The sequence below is a fragment of the Homo sapiens genome, chromosome 19, assembly GCF_000001405.40.
Source record: "Homo sapiens chromosome 19, GRCh38.p14 Primary Assembly".
NCBI lineage: Eukaryota > Metazoa > Chordata > Mammalia > Primates > Hominidae > Homo > Homo sapiens.
Genome location: NC_000019.10, coordinates 32714069 through 32728333, shown reverse-complemented (window position 1 = coordinate 32728333; position 14265 = coordinate 32714069). Strand labels below are relative to the sequence as shown.

General features: G+C 47.2%; 1 protein-coding gene across 11 annotated transcripts in view; it reads right to left on the bottom strand.

Moving 5' to 3' along the window:
• Positions 1–8567, bottom strand: part of TDRD12 (tudor domain containing 12) — a 109814-nt gene extending 101247 nt beyond the window's left edge. For all 11 annotated transcript variants that reach the window (NM_001437947.1, XM_011527473.4, XM_011527475.3 and 8 more), the window contains exon 1: positions 8238–8567. In NM_001437947.1, the coding sequence (NP_001424876.1) occupies positions 8238–8261 (24 nt within the window). In that variant the 5' untranslated portion in view covers positions 8262–8567. The remainder of the gene's footprint in view (positions 1–8237) is intronic.
• Between the last annotated feature and the right edge of the window lie 5698 nt (positions 8568–14265).

The window sequence follows — 14265 nt, the reverse complement described above, 5'->3', positions numbered from 1 at the left end:
ACATTCAATTCAATCCCTACCAAAATCCACAATGATATTTTTTCAGAAATAGAAAAGCACATTCTAAAATTCACATGAAATCCCAAGGGACCCAAAATAGCCAAAACAATATCAAAAAAGAACAAAGCTGGAGGACTCACACTTGATCACAAAACTTTACTACAAAGCTACAGTAATCAAAACAGTATGGTACTGAAATAAAGACAGACATATAGACCAACAGAGTAGAATAGAGAGTCCAGAATAAACCCTTGTGGTCTAGTCAAATGATTTTTGACAAGGGTACCAAAACCATTCAGGGAAAGGTTTTGTAACAAATGAGCACTGGGAAAACTGGATATTCACATGCAAAAGAATGAACTTGGAGGCCAGACAAAATGGCTCACACCTGTAATCCCAGCACTTCGGAAGGCCAAAGCAGGCAGATCACCTGAGGTCAGGAGTTCGACACAAGCCTGGCCAACATGGTGAAATCCCGTCTCTACTAAAAATACAAAATTAGCCGGGTGTGGTGGTACATGCCCGTAATCCCAGCTACTCAGGAGGCTACGCCAAGAGAATCACTTGAACCTGGGAGGTGGAGGTTGCAGTGAGCCGAAATTGCACCACTGCACTCCGGCCTGGGTAACAGAGTGAGACTCTGTCTCAAAAAGAAAATAAAAATAAAAATAAAAATGAAAGAATAAATTTGGACCTTTATGTGACACCATACTCAAAATGGATCAAAGACCTAAATGGAAGGCCTAAAACTACAAAAGAAAACACAGAGCAAATGCTTTGTGACGTTGGATTTGACAAAAATTTCTTGGATATGACACCAAAGCCACAGGCAACAAAAGAAAAAATAGACAAACTGGGCTTCATTGAAATTTAAAAACTGTGTGCATCAAAAGTCACTATCACCACAGTAGAAAGTCAACTTATGGAATGGGGGAAAATATTTGCAAGGCTTATATCTCATAAGGGATTAATACCCAGAATATACAGAGAACTCCTAAAACAATACAAAAACCCAAACCACCAATTAAAAAATGGGCAAAGGATTTGAATAGACATTTCTCCAAAGAAGATATACAAATGGCCAATAAGTACATGAAAAGGCGCTCAACATACTAATCATTAGAGAAATATAAATCATAACCATAGTGAGATACTACCTGACACTCATGAGGATAACTACTGTCAAAAAAAACCTGAAAATTCAGTGTGCTGGAAGGTGTGTTAAAACAGAAAATAATGTGTTGGCAAGGCTGTGGAGACACTGGAATCATTGTGCACTGTTGGTATGAATGTAAAACGGCATAGCTGCTGTGGAAAATGGTAGGGTGGCTCCTCAAAAAATTAAAACTATAATTACCATATAATGCAGCAATTCCACTATTGGGTGTAGATCCACGAGAATTGAAAGATCTTGAAGAGATACGTACACACCTGTGTTCATAGCAGCATTATTCACAATAGCTAAAATGTGGAAGCAACCCAGTGTCCCTCAACAGATAAATGGATAAGCAAAATGTGGTACAGAATGGACTATTATTCAGTCTGAACAAGGAAGGAAATTCTTTTTTTAAAAAAAGACATATATTTGTTTTTTTAAGAGACAGGGTCTTGCTATATTGCCCACCTCACCTCAAGCAATCCTCACCTCAAGCAATCCTCACCTCAAGCAATCCTCCCACCTCAGCCTCCCAAGTAGTTGGGTCCTCACGTTCACATCACTGCACTGGGCTTCAAAAGAAAGGAAATTCTGACACATGGTACAACATAATGAACCCTGAGGACATTATACTGAGTGAAATAAGCCAGTCACAAAAGGATAAACTGTATGATTCCACTTATATGAGGCACTCAGAGTAGTCAAATTCATAGAGAAAGCAGAGTTTCAGTTTTGCAAAAGGAAAAAGACTTCTGGAGAGGGACATTGGTGATGGTTGCACAACATTATGAATGTATTTGACTGGGTGTGGTGGTTCACGCCTGTAATCCCAGCACTTTGGGAGGCTGAGGCGGGTGGATCCAAGGTCAGGAGATCAAGACCATCGTGGCTAACACAGTGAAACCCAGTCTCTACTAAAAATACAAAAAATTAGCCAGGCGTGGTGGTGGGAGCCTGTAGTCCCAGCTACTTGGGAGGCTGAGGCAGGAGAATGGCGTGAACCCAGGAGGCAGAGCTTGCAGTGAGCTGAGATCGCACCACTGCATTCCGGCCTGGGCGACAGAGCAAGACTCCGTCTCAAAAAAAAAAAAAAATTATGAATGTATTTAATACCATGAACTGTACACTTAAAAATGGTTGAGATGGCAAACTTCGTTACATGTTTTTTACAATAAAAAATATATAATATATGCCAGAACTAATAATTGACTTTACAAGGCTACAAGGCACAAGATTATTGAAATAATTCAATTGTTGCTACAAAGAGAATACCTAGGAATACAACTAACAAAGGAAATAAAAGAGGACACAAACAAATGGAAAAACATTCCATGCTCGCGGATAGGAAGAGCATCGTGAAAATGGCCGTACTGTCCAAAGTAATTTATAGATTCAATGCTATTTCCATTAAACTACCATTGACATTCTTCACAGAAATAGAAAAAACTACTTTAAAATTGATAGGGAACCAAAAAAGAGTCCATATAGCCACGACACTCCTAAGCAAAAAGAATAAAGCTGGAGGCATCATGCTACCCAACTTCAAACTATACTACAAGGCTACAGTAACCAAAACAGCATGGTACTGGTACAAAAACAGACACATAGACCAATGTAACAGAATAGAGATCTCAGAAATAAGACCACACATCTACAACCATCTGATTTTTGACAAACCTGACAAAAACAGGCAATGGGGAAAGGATGCCCTATTTAATAAATGGTGCTGGGAAAACTGGCTAGCCGTATGCAGAAAACTGAAACTGGACCCTTTCCTTACACCTTATACAAAAATTAACTCAATATAGATTAAAGACTTAAATGTAAAACCTAAAACTATAAAAAAAAAACCCTAGAAAAAAATCTAGGCAATACCATTCAACACATAGGCAACGGCAACGATTTCATGACAAAAACATCAAAAGCAATTGCAACAAAAGTAAAAATTGACAAATGGGATTGAATTAAACTAAAGAGCTTCTGCACAGCAGAAGAAACTATCATCAGAGTTAACAGAAAACCTACAGAATGGGAGAAAATTTTTGCAATCTTTCCATCTGACAAAGATCTAATATCCAGAATCTGTAAGGAACTGAAACAAATTTACAAGAAAAAAACCCCATCAAAAAGTAGGCAAAGCGCATGAACAGACACTTCTCAAAAGAAGACATTTATGCAGCCAACAAACATATGAAAAAAAGCTCAACATCACTGATCATTAGAGAAATGCAAATCAAAACCACAATGAGATACCATCTCATGCCAGTCAGAATGGCAATTATTAAAAAGTCAAGAAACAACAGATGGCTGGCAAGGCTGTGGAGAAATGGGAATGCTTTTATACTGTTGGTGGGAGTATAAATTAATTCAACCATTGTGGAAGACAGTGTGGTGATTCCTCAAAGATCTAGAACCAGAAAAACCCAGCAATCCCATTACTGGGTATATACCAAAAGGAATATCAATCATTCTGTTATAAAGACATACATGCGTATGTTCACTGTAGCACTAGTCACAATAGCAAAGACATGGAATCAACCCAAATGCCCATCAGTGATAGACTGGATAAAGAAAATTTGGTACATATACACCATGGAATACTAGGTAACCATAAAAAGTAACAAGATAATATCCTTTGCAGGGACATGGATGAAGCTGGAAGCCATTATCCTCAGCAAACTAACACTGGAACAGAAAACCAAACACCGTATGTTCTCACTTATAAACAGGAGCTGAACAATGAGAACACATGGACACAGGGAGGGGAACCACACACTGGGGCCTATGGGACAGAGGGGAGGGAGAGTATCAGGATAAAAAAACTAATACATGCGGGGCTTAATAACTAGATGATGGGTTAATAGTTGCAGCAAACCAACATGGCACATGTCTATCTATGTAACAAACCTGCAGGTCCTGCACTTGTATCCTGGAACTTAAAATTAAATTAAAAAATAATAATTCAATCGTATTACTATATTCCAGAAATGGAAATTGGAAATTTAAAATTACAAAAAGGCTGGGAGTGGTGGCTCATTCCCATAATCCCATTACTTTGGGAGGCTGAGGTGGGACGATTGCTTGAGCCCAGGAGTTTGAGAAACCAGCCTGGGCAACACAGTGAGACCCTGTCTCTAAAAAAATTTTTTTTAATTAACCAGGAGTGGGGGCAAATGCCTTTAGGCCCAGCTACTCAGGAGGCTGGGGCAGGAGGCTCCCTTGAGCCCAGGAGTTTGAGGTTGCAGTAAGTTGTGATTACAGCACTGCGCTCCAGCCTGGCCAACAAAGCAAGACCCTGTGTCTTTTACTGAAAAACAAAACAAAACCCAGTAATTACTTAAAGGTCTAAATCTTAAAAATATGTGCAAAATTCCTATGCTGAAAGTTATAAAACACTGACGGAAAGAAATGAAAGATCTAAATAAGTATAGATATACTGTATTAATATATATTTCTCTGAACCCATCTATAAATACAACTCCATTCCAGCATGGTTTTTTTTTTTTTTTTGGTAGACTCAGCAAGCAATTACAAAATGCATATTACAAAAGCTAAGGAACTAGAACAATTCTGAAAAAGAATATAGTTGGAAGACTCATATCACCTGACTTCAAGAGTTATCTATAAAGGGCCAGGCACGGTGGCTCATGCTTGTAATCCCAGCACTTTGGGAGGCCGAGATGGGTGGACCACGAGGTCAGGAGATCGAGACCATCCTGGCTAACACAGTGAAACCCTGTCTCTACTAAAAATAAAAAAATTAGCCGGGCATGGTGGCGGGCACCTGTAGTCCCAGCTACTTGGGAGGCTGAGGCAGGAGAATGGCATGAACCCGGGAGGCAGAGCTTGCACTGTGCCGAGATCACACCACTGCACTCCAGCCTGGGGGACAGAGCAAGACTCCGTCTCAAAAAAAAAACAAAATAGTTACCTATAAAGCTACAGTAATAAGACAGTGTGGTATTGTGCATAAATCAATATAACAGGAATATAATCACACATATAGTCAATTGATTTTTGATAAGACACAAAGGAGGACGGATAGTCATTTCAACAAATGATGTTGGAACAGTTAGATAATCACGTGCAAAGAAATGAAACTTCATCCATTCCTTGCACCATATACAAAAATTAACTCGGATCATATATCTAAATGTAAAATATAAAATTATAAAACTTCTAAAAGGTTACATGGGGGGGCCAGGTGCAGCAGTTCTTGCCTGTAATCCCAGCAGTTTGGGAGGCCGAGGAGGGCAGATCACTTGAGGTCAGGAGTTGCAGACCAGCCTGGACAAGATGCTGAAACCCCGTCTCTACCAAAAATATAAAAATTAGCCGGCTGTGGTGGCACGCGCCTGTAATCCCAGCTACTCAGGAGGCTGAGGCAGGAGAATCGCTTGAACTCGGGAGGCGGAGGTTGCAGTGAGCCGAGATTGCTCCACCACACTCCAGCCTGGGCAACAGAGCGAGACGCCGTCTCAAAAAAAAAAAAAAAAAATTTTTTTTAAATAATAAAAGGATACATGGGGGAAAAAAATCTTTGTGACTGTGAGTCAGACAAAGATTTCTCAGATATTTAAGGCTAAATAATATGCCATTGTGTATGTACAAACCACCTTCCGTTTACCCAGTCATCTGTTGATGGATACATGGAGGGAAAAATATTTCATCCTTGTAAAAGCTAACTTCATCTGCAGGACAGGTGGTACCTACACAGCACTTGGGGAGACACTCCTATTCAGGACAGAATTTGCTCAGGGGGTGAGCTGGTTGAGGGCCAGAAGTGGGGGCAGATCAGAGTTGAGCAGGTAAATGAAAGAGTTCCTGGGCCCAACTGAGAGGAAAGGGGTTCGCGAACAGGAGGCAGCAAGTCCAGCTCCTGCTATCAAAGTTCTGCCGGGATGGTTGTGCATGTTTCAGGATGTGTAGCCCTGGAAGAGCCCTGTCTCTTCTAAAGAAGAAATCGGACTAGCATCGTTAGGACTGACAGACAACATCTGACTGGAGGAGAGGAGCTCGCCTGGTGGATCTGAACACCTAAAAGTCTGAGGGCAAATTCTCTGTAAGAGTCAGCTTCCTCAAACATTTGTGAATCTTTGTTCAGAGAGATTACACAAGACATCAAGTAAGAGCAGGAGAGTGCTGGTTTTAAAAATCGCACCGGCCGGGCGTGGTGGCTCACGCCTGTAATCCCAGCACTTTGGGAAGCCGAGGCGGGTGGATCACGAGGTCAGGAAATGGAGACCATCCTGGCTAACATGGTGAAACCCCGTCTCTACTAAAAATACAAAAAAAAAAAAAAATTAGCCAGGCGTGGTGGTGGCCGCCTGTAGTCCCAGCTACTTGGGAGGCTGAGGCAGGAGAATGGCGTGAACCCGGGAGGCGGAGCTTGCAGCGAGCTGAGATCGCGCCACTGCACTCCAGCCTGGGTGACTGAGCAAGACTCCTTCTCAAAATAAAATAAAATAAAATAAAATAAAATAAAATAAAATAAAATAGGCCAGGCACGGTGGCTCACGCCTGTAATCCCAGCACTTTGGGAGGCGGAGGCAGGTGGATCACCTGAGGTCAGGAGTTCGAGAACAGCCACGTGGTGAAACCCTGTCTCTACTAAAAATACAAAAATTAGCCAGGTGTGGTGGCAGGCACCTGTAATCCCAGCTACTCGGGAGGCTGAGGCAGGAGAATCACTTGAACCCGGGAAGCGGAGGTTGCAGTGAGCTGAGGTCACACCACTGCACTCCAGCCTAGACAACAAGAGCGAAACTCCATCTCAAAAAAATAAATGAATAAATAATAAAATAAAATAAAACAATCCCACAATCTGCTACGTCCAGCTCCTGGGCCCACTGAAGTGTGATTTTCAAAGTATTTAGATTTCCTTTCTCCAATAACCCATACCCACCCCTCTGCTCTGGCCTGTCAACTCCTTCCTCCAGCAACGCTTTCCCCTTCACCAATGAGCCCTCACTGGACTCCAAGGGGGAAAAGCAAGGGTCCAGGCGGGCGTCCCTTCCCCGAGGACTAGAACAACGCCCACGCAGAGCCCACGCGGTGAGCGGATAGGGCAACAGAGACTGGGGGCATGAGGGAAGCCCGGACCCATGGGCTGGGGCTGCCCGGGCCACCCGACCCTGTCCAGGCGCCGAGCCTAAGGGCCCCGTGGAGTACGGAGAGCGGGGCCCTGGGGACGCCAGTGTCGCTTGGCCCGGGTGATCGAGCATTCGGAGGAGCAACCAATTCCGCGCTCCTCCAGGTGCATCCCGGAGCACGCCAGGGCCCGTGAAACCCGGGCTCATCCGGGTTCTACCCCAGCTCCCAGCCCGGGGTGCCCCCTGGTGGGGGCGCAGGGAGGGTTCAGGTGGGGGAGGGCGGGGTGGGGTTGGAGTGGAGGTGGGGTGGGCTGCGGCTGGGGTGCAGGTGGGAGTGGAGATGGGGTGGTGGTGGGGTGTGTGGGGCTGAGTGTGGGGGGATGAAATGTTGGGGTGGAGGTGTGAGTGGGGGCGGTGGGAATAAGGATGGGGTGGGGACAGGGGCGAGGGTGTGACTGTGGGGTGGGCAGCGATAAGGAAACGGGTGGGAGCTGGGGCTAGGGTAGGAGTTGGGGGTGTGTGGGGTTGGGAGTGGGATGGGTTGGGGTGGGAGTGGGGTGGGAGTGGGGGCGTGGTGTGGCGGCATGGGATATACGGGGTTGGGATGTGTGGGAGTGGGATGGAGTGTGCAGCAGTGAGATGGGGTGGGGGCATGTGTGAGTGTGGGGGTGGAGCTGGGTGGGAGTGGGTGTGGGAGGATGTGTGGGTTGGGGGAGGAGTGGGCGTGGGGAGTAGGTGTGGGCTGAGAGGGAGTGGACATGGGGGGGATGCGTGGGCTGGGAGGAGTGGGTGTGGAGGGATGTGGAGGCTGGGATGGGGGGAGGGGTGGGGGCTGTGTAGGGTTGGGGTCGGGGGTGGGAGGCTGTGCGGGGCTGCGGTGGGTGTAGGAAGCTGTGCGGAGCTGGGGTGGGGGTGGGAGGCTGTGCGCGGCTGGGGTGGGGGTGGGGGACTGCGTGGGTCTGGCGTGGGTCTGGCTTGGCGGCGCTCACCTTCAGCACCAGGAGCTGGAGCATCCTCCTGGCGCCCGAGGGCAGATGGGCCCCCTCGCCCTGGAAGTCCCCTACCGTCGCGGGTGAGGCTGGCTGCGTCCGCCCCGGCCAGGCCCCCGCCGCGAGTGCGTTCCTTCCCTCCACCTTTAGCGCCTGGGCCCCCCGCGGCAGGTGCCCCACACTCCTCGTCCCCAGGAGCCCTCGCGGACCCCGGGGTCGGCTCGAGGCAATGCGCTCCGTCCTGGCAGTAACCAGCCCCTCGCTGCGGGATCCCTGCCTGCCTGGCCTCGGGCCTCCCGCACCCACCGGATGCCCGCGCACGCTGAGCAGGCCTTGAGGCGTCGGAGACCACGTGGTCCACCCAACGGCCCAACAACGTAAGGCACAGCGCCACGCGGTGGCCAGGAGGACTGACGCGCGGAGGCCCTGGGAGGCCCGGCTAGGGGTCGCGTGATTCTCTCTTTTGCAGCCAGCAGGACTGCCCTGCAGGCCCCAGGGACACTCGCCTGTCCCCCGGAGGGACAGAGGGGCCGCGTGCGGCTGAGTCCGTTGGAAACCACCTTTGCAAAATTGTAACTGAGGAAATTGTGATGGTGAAAGAAATCAGACCTAATCAACTCCATCTTGCCTCTAACCTTTAAGCTGTCCTTGTTTATTCCTGGGCGGAAGCCCAACTAACCTTGGGAAGGAATTCAGTCCATGGTTTGACTCTGAAACAAAATTGATAAGAGCCTGTGAATCCTGAAAATGTGAGATAGGTCTCAGTTCATTTAGAAAGTTTATTTGGCCAGCAGAGCGAGGTGGCTCAGGCCTGTAATCCCAGCGCTTTGGGAGGCGAGGGGTGCGGATCACCTGATAAGGTTAGGAGTTGGAGACTAGCATCCTCGACATGGTGAAACCCCGTCTCTACTAAAAATAGAAAAATTAGCCTGGCATGGTGGGGAGCGCCTCTAATCCCAGCTACTTGGGAGGCTGAGACAGGAGAATCGCTTGAACCCGGGAGGCAGAGGTTTCAGTGAGCTGAGATCAGGCCACTGCACCCCAGCCTGGGCGACAGAGTGAGACTCTGTCTCAAAAAACAAAACAAAACAAAAAATTTTGCCAAGGTTGAGGACAGGCGCCCCTGACACAGGAAGTCCTAACGACATTTGCTAGACGTGGTCGAGGCACAGCTTGTGTTAAAGTTGGAGGGTGTCCAGGTTCTTGGTGTCTTGAAGAAAGAATTTGACAAAAGGCACACACAAAGCAAGGAAGGAATGAAGGGTTTTATTGAAAAAGTACACTCCACAGTGTGGGAGCAGGCCTGAACACAGGGACTCAAAGGCCCGGCAGAATTTCTGTGAATTTAAATACCTTCTGCTTGGGGTACGCCCGATGTAAATGAAGACGGTGAAGTAAAGTTACGAAGTCATTTACTCGGTGTATGCCCTATGGAGAGGGTATTTCCCCTTATAGCTGAAGCGTGAATCGGCCTTATGTTCCCTACCTCCAGACCCTATTTTCCTGCCTCACTTGGTCTTTTACATTTTAGGGAGGCATGAGACAACAATCCTTGAATCAGCTCAGTGGATCAGCTGACACCACCCACACCGATAATCTGCCTCAACCAGTTCTGCCAAACCAACCAGGAAGAGTAAATAGCAAGAAAAACTCCAACAACCTCTGATTCCATCTTCAACCTGGCCAATCAGCACTCCCCACTTCCCAAGCTCCTACCCGCCCAATTGTCTTTAAAAACTCTGTTCCTCAAATGCTCGGAGAGACTGATTTGAGTAATAATAAAACTCCAGTCTCCCACACAGCCGGCTCTGCGTGAATTACTCTTTCTCCATTGCAATTCCCTGTCTTGATAAATTGGCTCTGTCTAGGCAGCGGGCAAGGTGAACCCATTAGGTGGTTACAAGTTCATTATTTTATTTTTAAAGAGACAGGATATGGCTCTCTTGCCCAAGCTGGAGTGCAGTGGCACAATCATGGCTCACTGCAGCCTTGAATTCCTGGGCTCAGTTGATCCTCCATCTTCAGCCTCTCAAGTAGCTGGGACTACAGGCATGCACCACCACGCCTGGATAATTTTTTAATTTTTTTGTAGAGATGGGGGTCTCGCTGTGTTGCCCAGGCTGGTGTTGAACTCCTGGGCTCAAGCCATCCTTCCGCCTCAGCCCCCTGAGCAGCTAGGATTACAGGCATGAACCACCACACCAGGCCCTCAGTTGGTCCTTGTTGCCTGCTAAGGGGCCCCTGTCCTCCTGCTTTCTCTAGGCCAGCCTACACCCCTTAAACGCTGTGAGCTGGAAGCCTTGGTGGTGAGGAAGAGTCCTGGACAGTCATGAATCCCTGGGTCTTCGTGGCCTCCTGGCAACATTTCCATTTGATCTGCACCTTTTGGAAAGGTTCCTGGTCCTGGATTTCTTCCCAGCTGGACTTCAACTGGCAGGGCTCTCCGAGTCTAAACGAGTTAATTTGCTAGTAAGGGAACCAACAAGATGACAAAAGACTGCAAGAGTTTGGAGAGAGCATGGAAACTGTGGAGTTATTATTTGGGGAACAGAATGCTCACATAAGCATGCAGTTCTATAAGAAAACTGGATTGCACGAGGTCCCACAGATAACATGCACTTAAACTCTCAGGCAGGATGGTTGCAGAGGAAAGGTGTGTAGCTGCCAGTCGGGAGAAAAACACAGCTGCAAAGTGCGTGATGTTCACCTGTTCCTGAAATTAGGTTGACAAGGCCTCCCCTCCAATCAAGGCACCTGGTATGGCCAACTCACCTGAAAGCTCAAGACCTTGCCAAAAAGAGATGGAAAATGACAGGATCTGATTTAAACAGGAGGTCCTGGCTGGGCGAGGTGGCTCAGGCCTGTAATCCCAGCACTTTGGGAGGCCGAGGTGGGTGGACCACTTGACGTCAGGAGTTCGAGACCAGCCTGGCTAATATGGTGAAGCCCTGTCTCTACTAAATATACAAAAATTAGCCGGGCATAGTGACAAGCACCTGTAATTCCAGCTACACAGGAGGCTGAGGCAGGAGAATCGCTTGAACCAAGGAGGCAGAGGTTGCAGTGAGCTGAGATCATGCCACTGCACTCCAGCCTAGGCAACAGAGCAAAACTCTGTCTCAAAAAATATATAAAATAAAATAAAATAAACAGGAGGTCTTGTAGCCAGGTGCAGTGACATGTGCCTGTAGTCTCAGCTACTTGGGAGGGTGAGATGGGAGGATCCCTTGAGCCAGAAGTTGGAGCCCAGCCTTGGCAACATAGCAAAACCCCATCTTAAATAGGAAGTCCCAAAACAGTTCCCAATCCACAAAAATGGGTAATATAGACTTCTCCCAGTTCTTGGTGTGGGGAGACACTTTTTTGTTTGACTAGATCCTGTGCTACAGTACGGTATTTCCCAATCTTTTTACAACATGGCTCACAGAAAATGGAAATATTTATATATTACACTCCCATAGTCAAGACACTCACTGCCCTGGGGGTCCAGCCACCCAGTCTCCCCAAGGTTAAAAGGGGTCCGCATTTGTACTGTAACCTGCCCTCCTCCAACTCTGGTGCTAGCGGAAAACACTTTTTTAAAGATTCACAAGGCTTCCTTTTTCTTCACCCTGTCTCATGGTGCTTTTTTTTTTTTTTTTTGAGACAGGGTCTCGCTCTGTTGCCCAGGCTGGAGTACAGTGGCGCAATCTTATCGCTGCTCACTGCAGCCTCTATCTCCTGGGCTCAAGTATCTTCCCACCTCAGCCTCCTGAGAAGATAAAACTATAGGGATGCACCACTACACCCAGCTAATTTTTTTTTTTTTTTTTGAGACAGTCTTGCTCTGTCACTCAGGCTGGAGTGCAGTGGCACGATCTCAGCTCACTGCAACCTCCGCCTCCTGGGTTCAAGCAATTCTTCTGCCTCAGCCTCCCAAGTAGCTGGGACTACAGCCATGTGTCACCACACCCAGCTAATTTTTGTATTTTTAGTAGAGACGGGGTTTTACCATATTGACCAGGCTGGTCTCAAAACACCTGACCTTGTGATCCACCCACTTCAGCCTCCCAAAGTGCTGAGATTACAGGCGTGAACCACCGTGCCTGGCCCACCCAGCTAATTTTGAATTTTTTTATAGAGACATGGTCTCCCTATGTTGCCCAGGCAGGTCTTGAACTCCTGGGCTCAAACGATTCTTCCACCTTGGCCTCCCAAAGTGTTGGGATGACAAGTGTGAGCCACCATGCCCAGCCGAATTTTGTTTTTAACTTTAAAAATATTTCTGACCCAGCACAGGGGCTCACATCTGTAATCCCAGCACTTTGGGAGGCTGAGGCGGGCAGATCACTTGAGGTCAGGAGTTGGAGACCAGCCTGGTCAAATGGTGAAACCCTGTCTCTACTAAAAGTACAAAAATTAGCTGGGTGTGGTGGTTGATGCCTGTAATCCCAGCAAATTGGGAGGCTGAGGCAGGAGAATCACTTGAACCCAGGAGGCAGAGGTTGCAGTGAGCCAAGATCGCACCACCGCACTCTAGCCTGGGCAACAAAGCGAGAAGGTGTCTCAAAAAGAAAAGAAAAGAAAAACTGTGTGTCATAAATGCCATGAACACCAGTAATCTGAATTCTAAAACTTAATTTTTCAGCTCATATTATTTGGGGTTATGGGGTATGGGCAAGATATCACTATAGGTAGGAAGTCATGTGACAAGTCTCCCAAAAGGAATTCTTGGAAGGAGACAAGGTTCACTCAGATTAAAAACAACAACATACAGGCCAGGCGCAGTGGCTCACACCTGTATTGCCAGCATGACGTGGATGGACCACTTGAGGTCAGAAGTTCAAGACCAGCCTGGCCAACACGGTGAAGCCCTGTCTCTGCTAAAAATACAACCATTAGCCAGGTGCAGTGGCACGTGCCTGTAATCCCAGCTACTCGGGAGGCTGAGGCAGGAGAATTGCTTGAACCCAGGAGGCAGAGGTTGCAGTGAGCCAAAAGCACGCCACTGCACTCCAGCCTGGACAACAATGTGAGACTCCATCTCAAAACAAACAAACAAACAAACAAACAAACAAAAACAAAAAAAAGCATACATGAGGGAAACGTGGTGTGAAAACGATCTTTTCTATGAAGAAAAACTGGTCATATTACTTTATCATGACATCTTCTAATATCACCCACTGAGCCATGGCAACTCCAGTGAAGAGGGAGTTGACTGTGGCACTAACCAGCTGCGTGTCTCGGTTTTCTCACTGGCAAAATCATGGTGTTCAATGAGGTCCCTTCCAGCGGCAACATTCTAGTAATCTTTGAGAGTCAAAAGACAAAGCTAGGCTGGGCATGGTGGCTCATGCCTATAATCCCGGGCACCTTGGGAGGCTGAGGCGGGCAGATCACCTGAGGTCAGGAGTTCAAGACCAACCTGGCCAACATGGTGAAACTTTGTCTCTACTAAAAATATAAACATTAGCTGGGTGTGGTGGCGGGCGCCTATAGTCACAGCTACTTGGGAGGCTGAGGCACAAGAATTGCTTGAACGCAGGAGGTGAAGGTTGCAGTGAACTGAGATTGCACCACTGCACTCCAGCCTGGGCAGCAAAGTGAGACTCTATCTCAAAAAAATCAAAAGACAACAAAAATTTTTGTACACTTTGTTTTTGTTTTTGTTTTTTTGAGACAGTTTTCCTCTTGTCACCCAGGCTGGAGTGCAATCTGGGCTCACTGCAACCTCCACCTCCAGGTTCAAGCGATTCTCCTGCCTCAGCCTCCTGAGTAGCTGGAATTACAGGCCACCATGCCTGGCTAATTTTTGTGTATTGTTAGTAGATGGGGTTTCACCACATTAACCAGCCTGGTCTTGAACTCCTGACCTCAGGTGATCCGCCCACCTCAGCCTCCCAAAATGCTGGGATTATAGGCATAAGCCACTGCGCCCAGCCCAGCCAACTTTTTTTTTTTTTCCAATTGGACGTAATTTCCCATTTTTGTAGATTCAAAAGGCAGACAGAATAATAGTATCTGTGGTTCTCAAAATTTACATATTGGA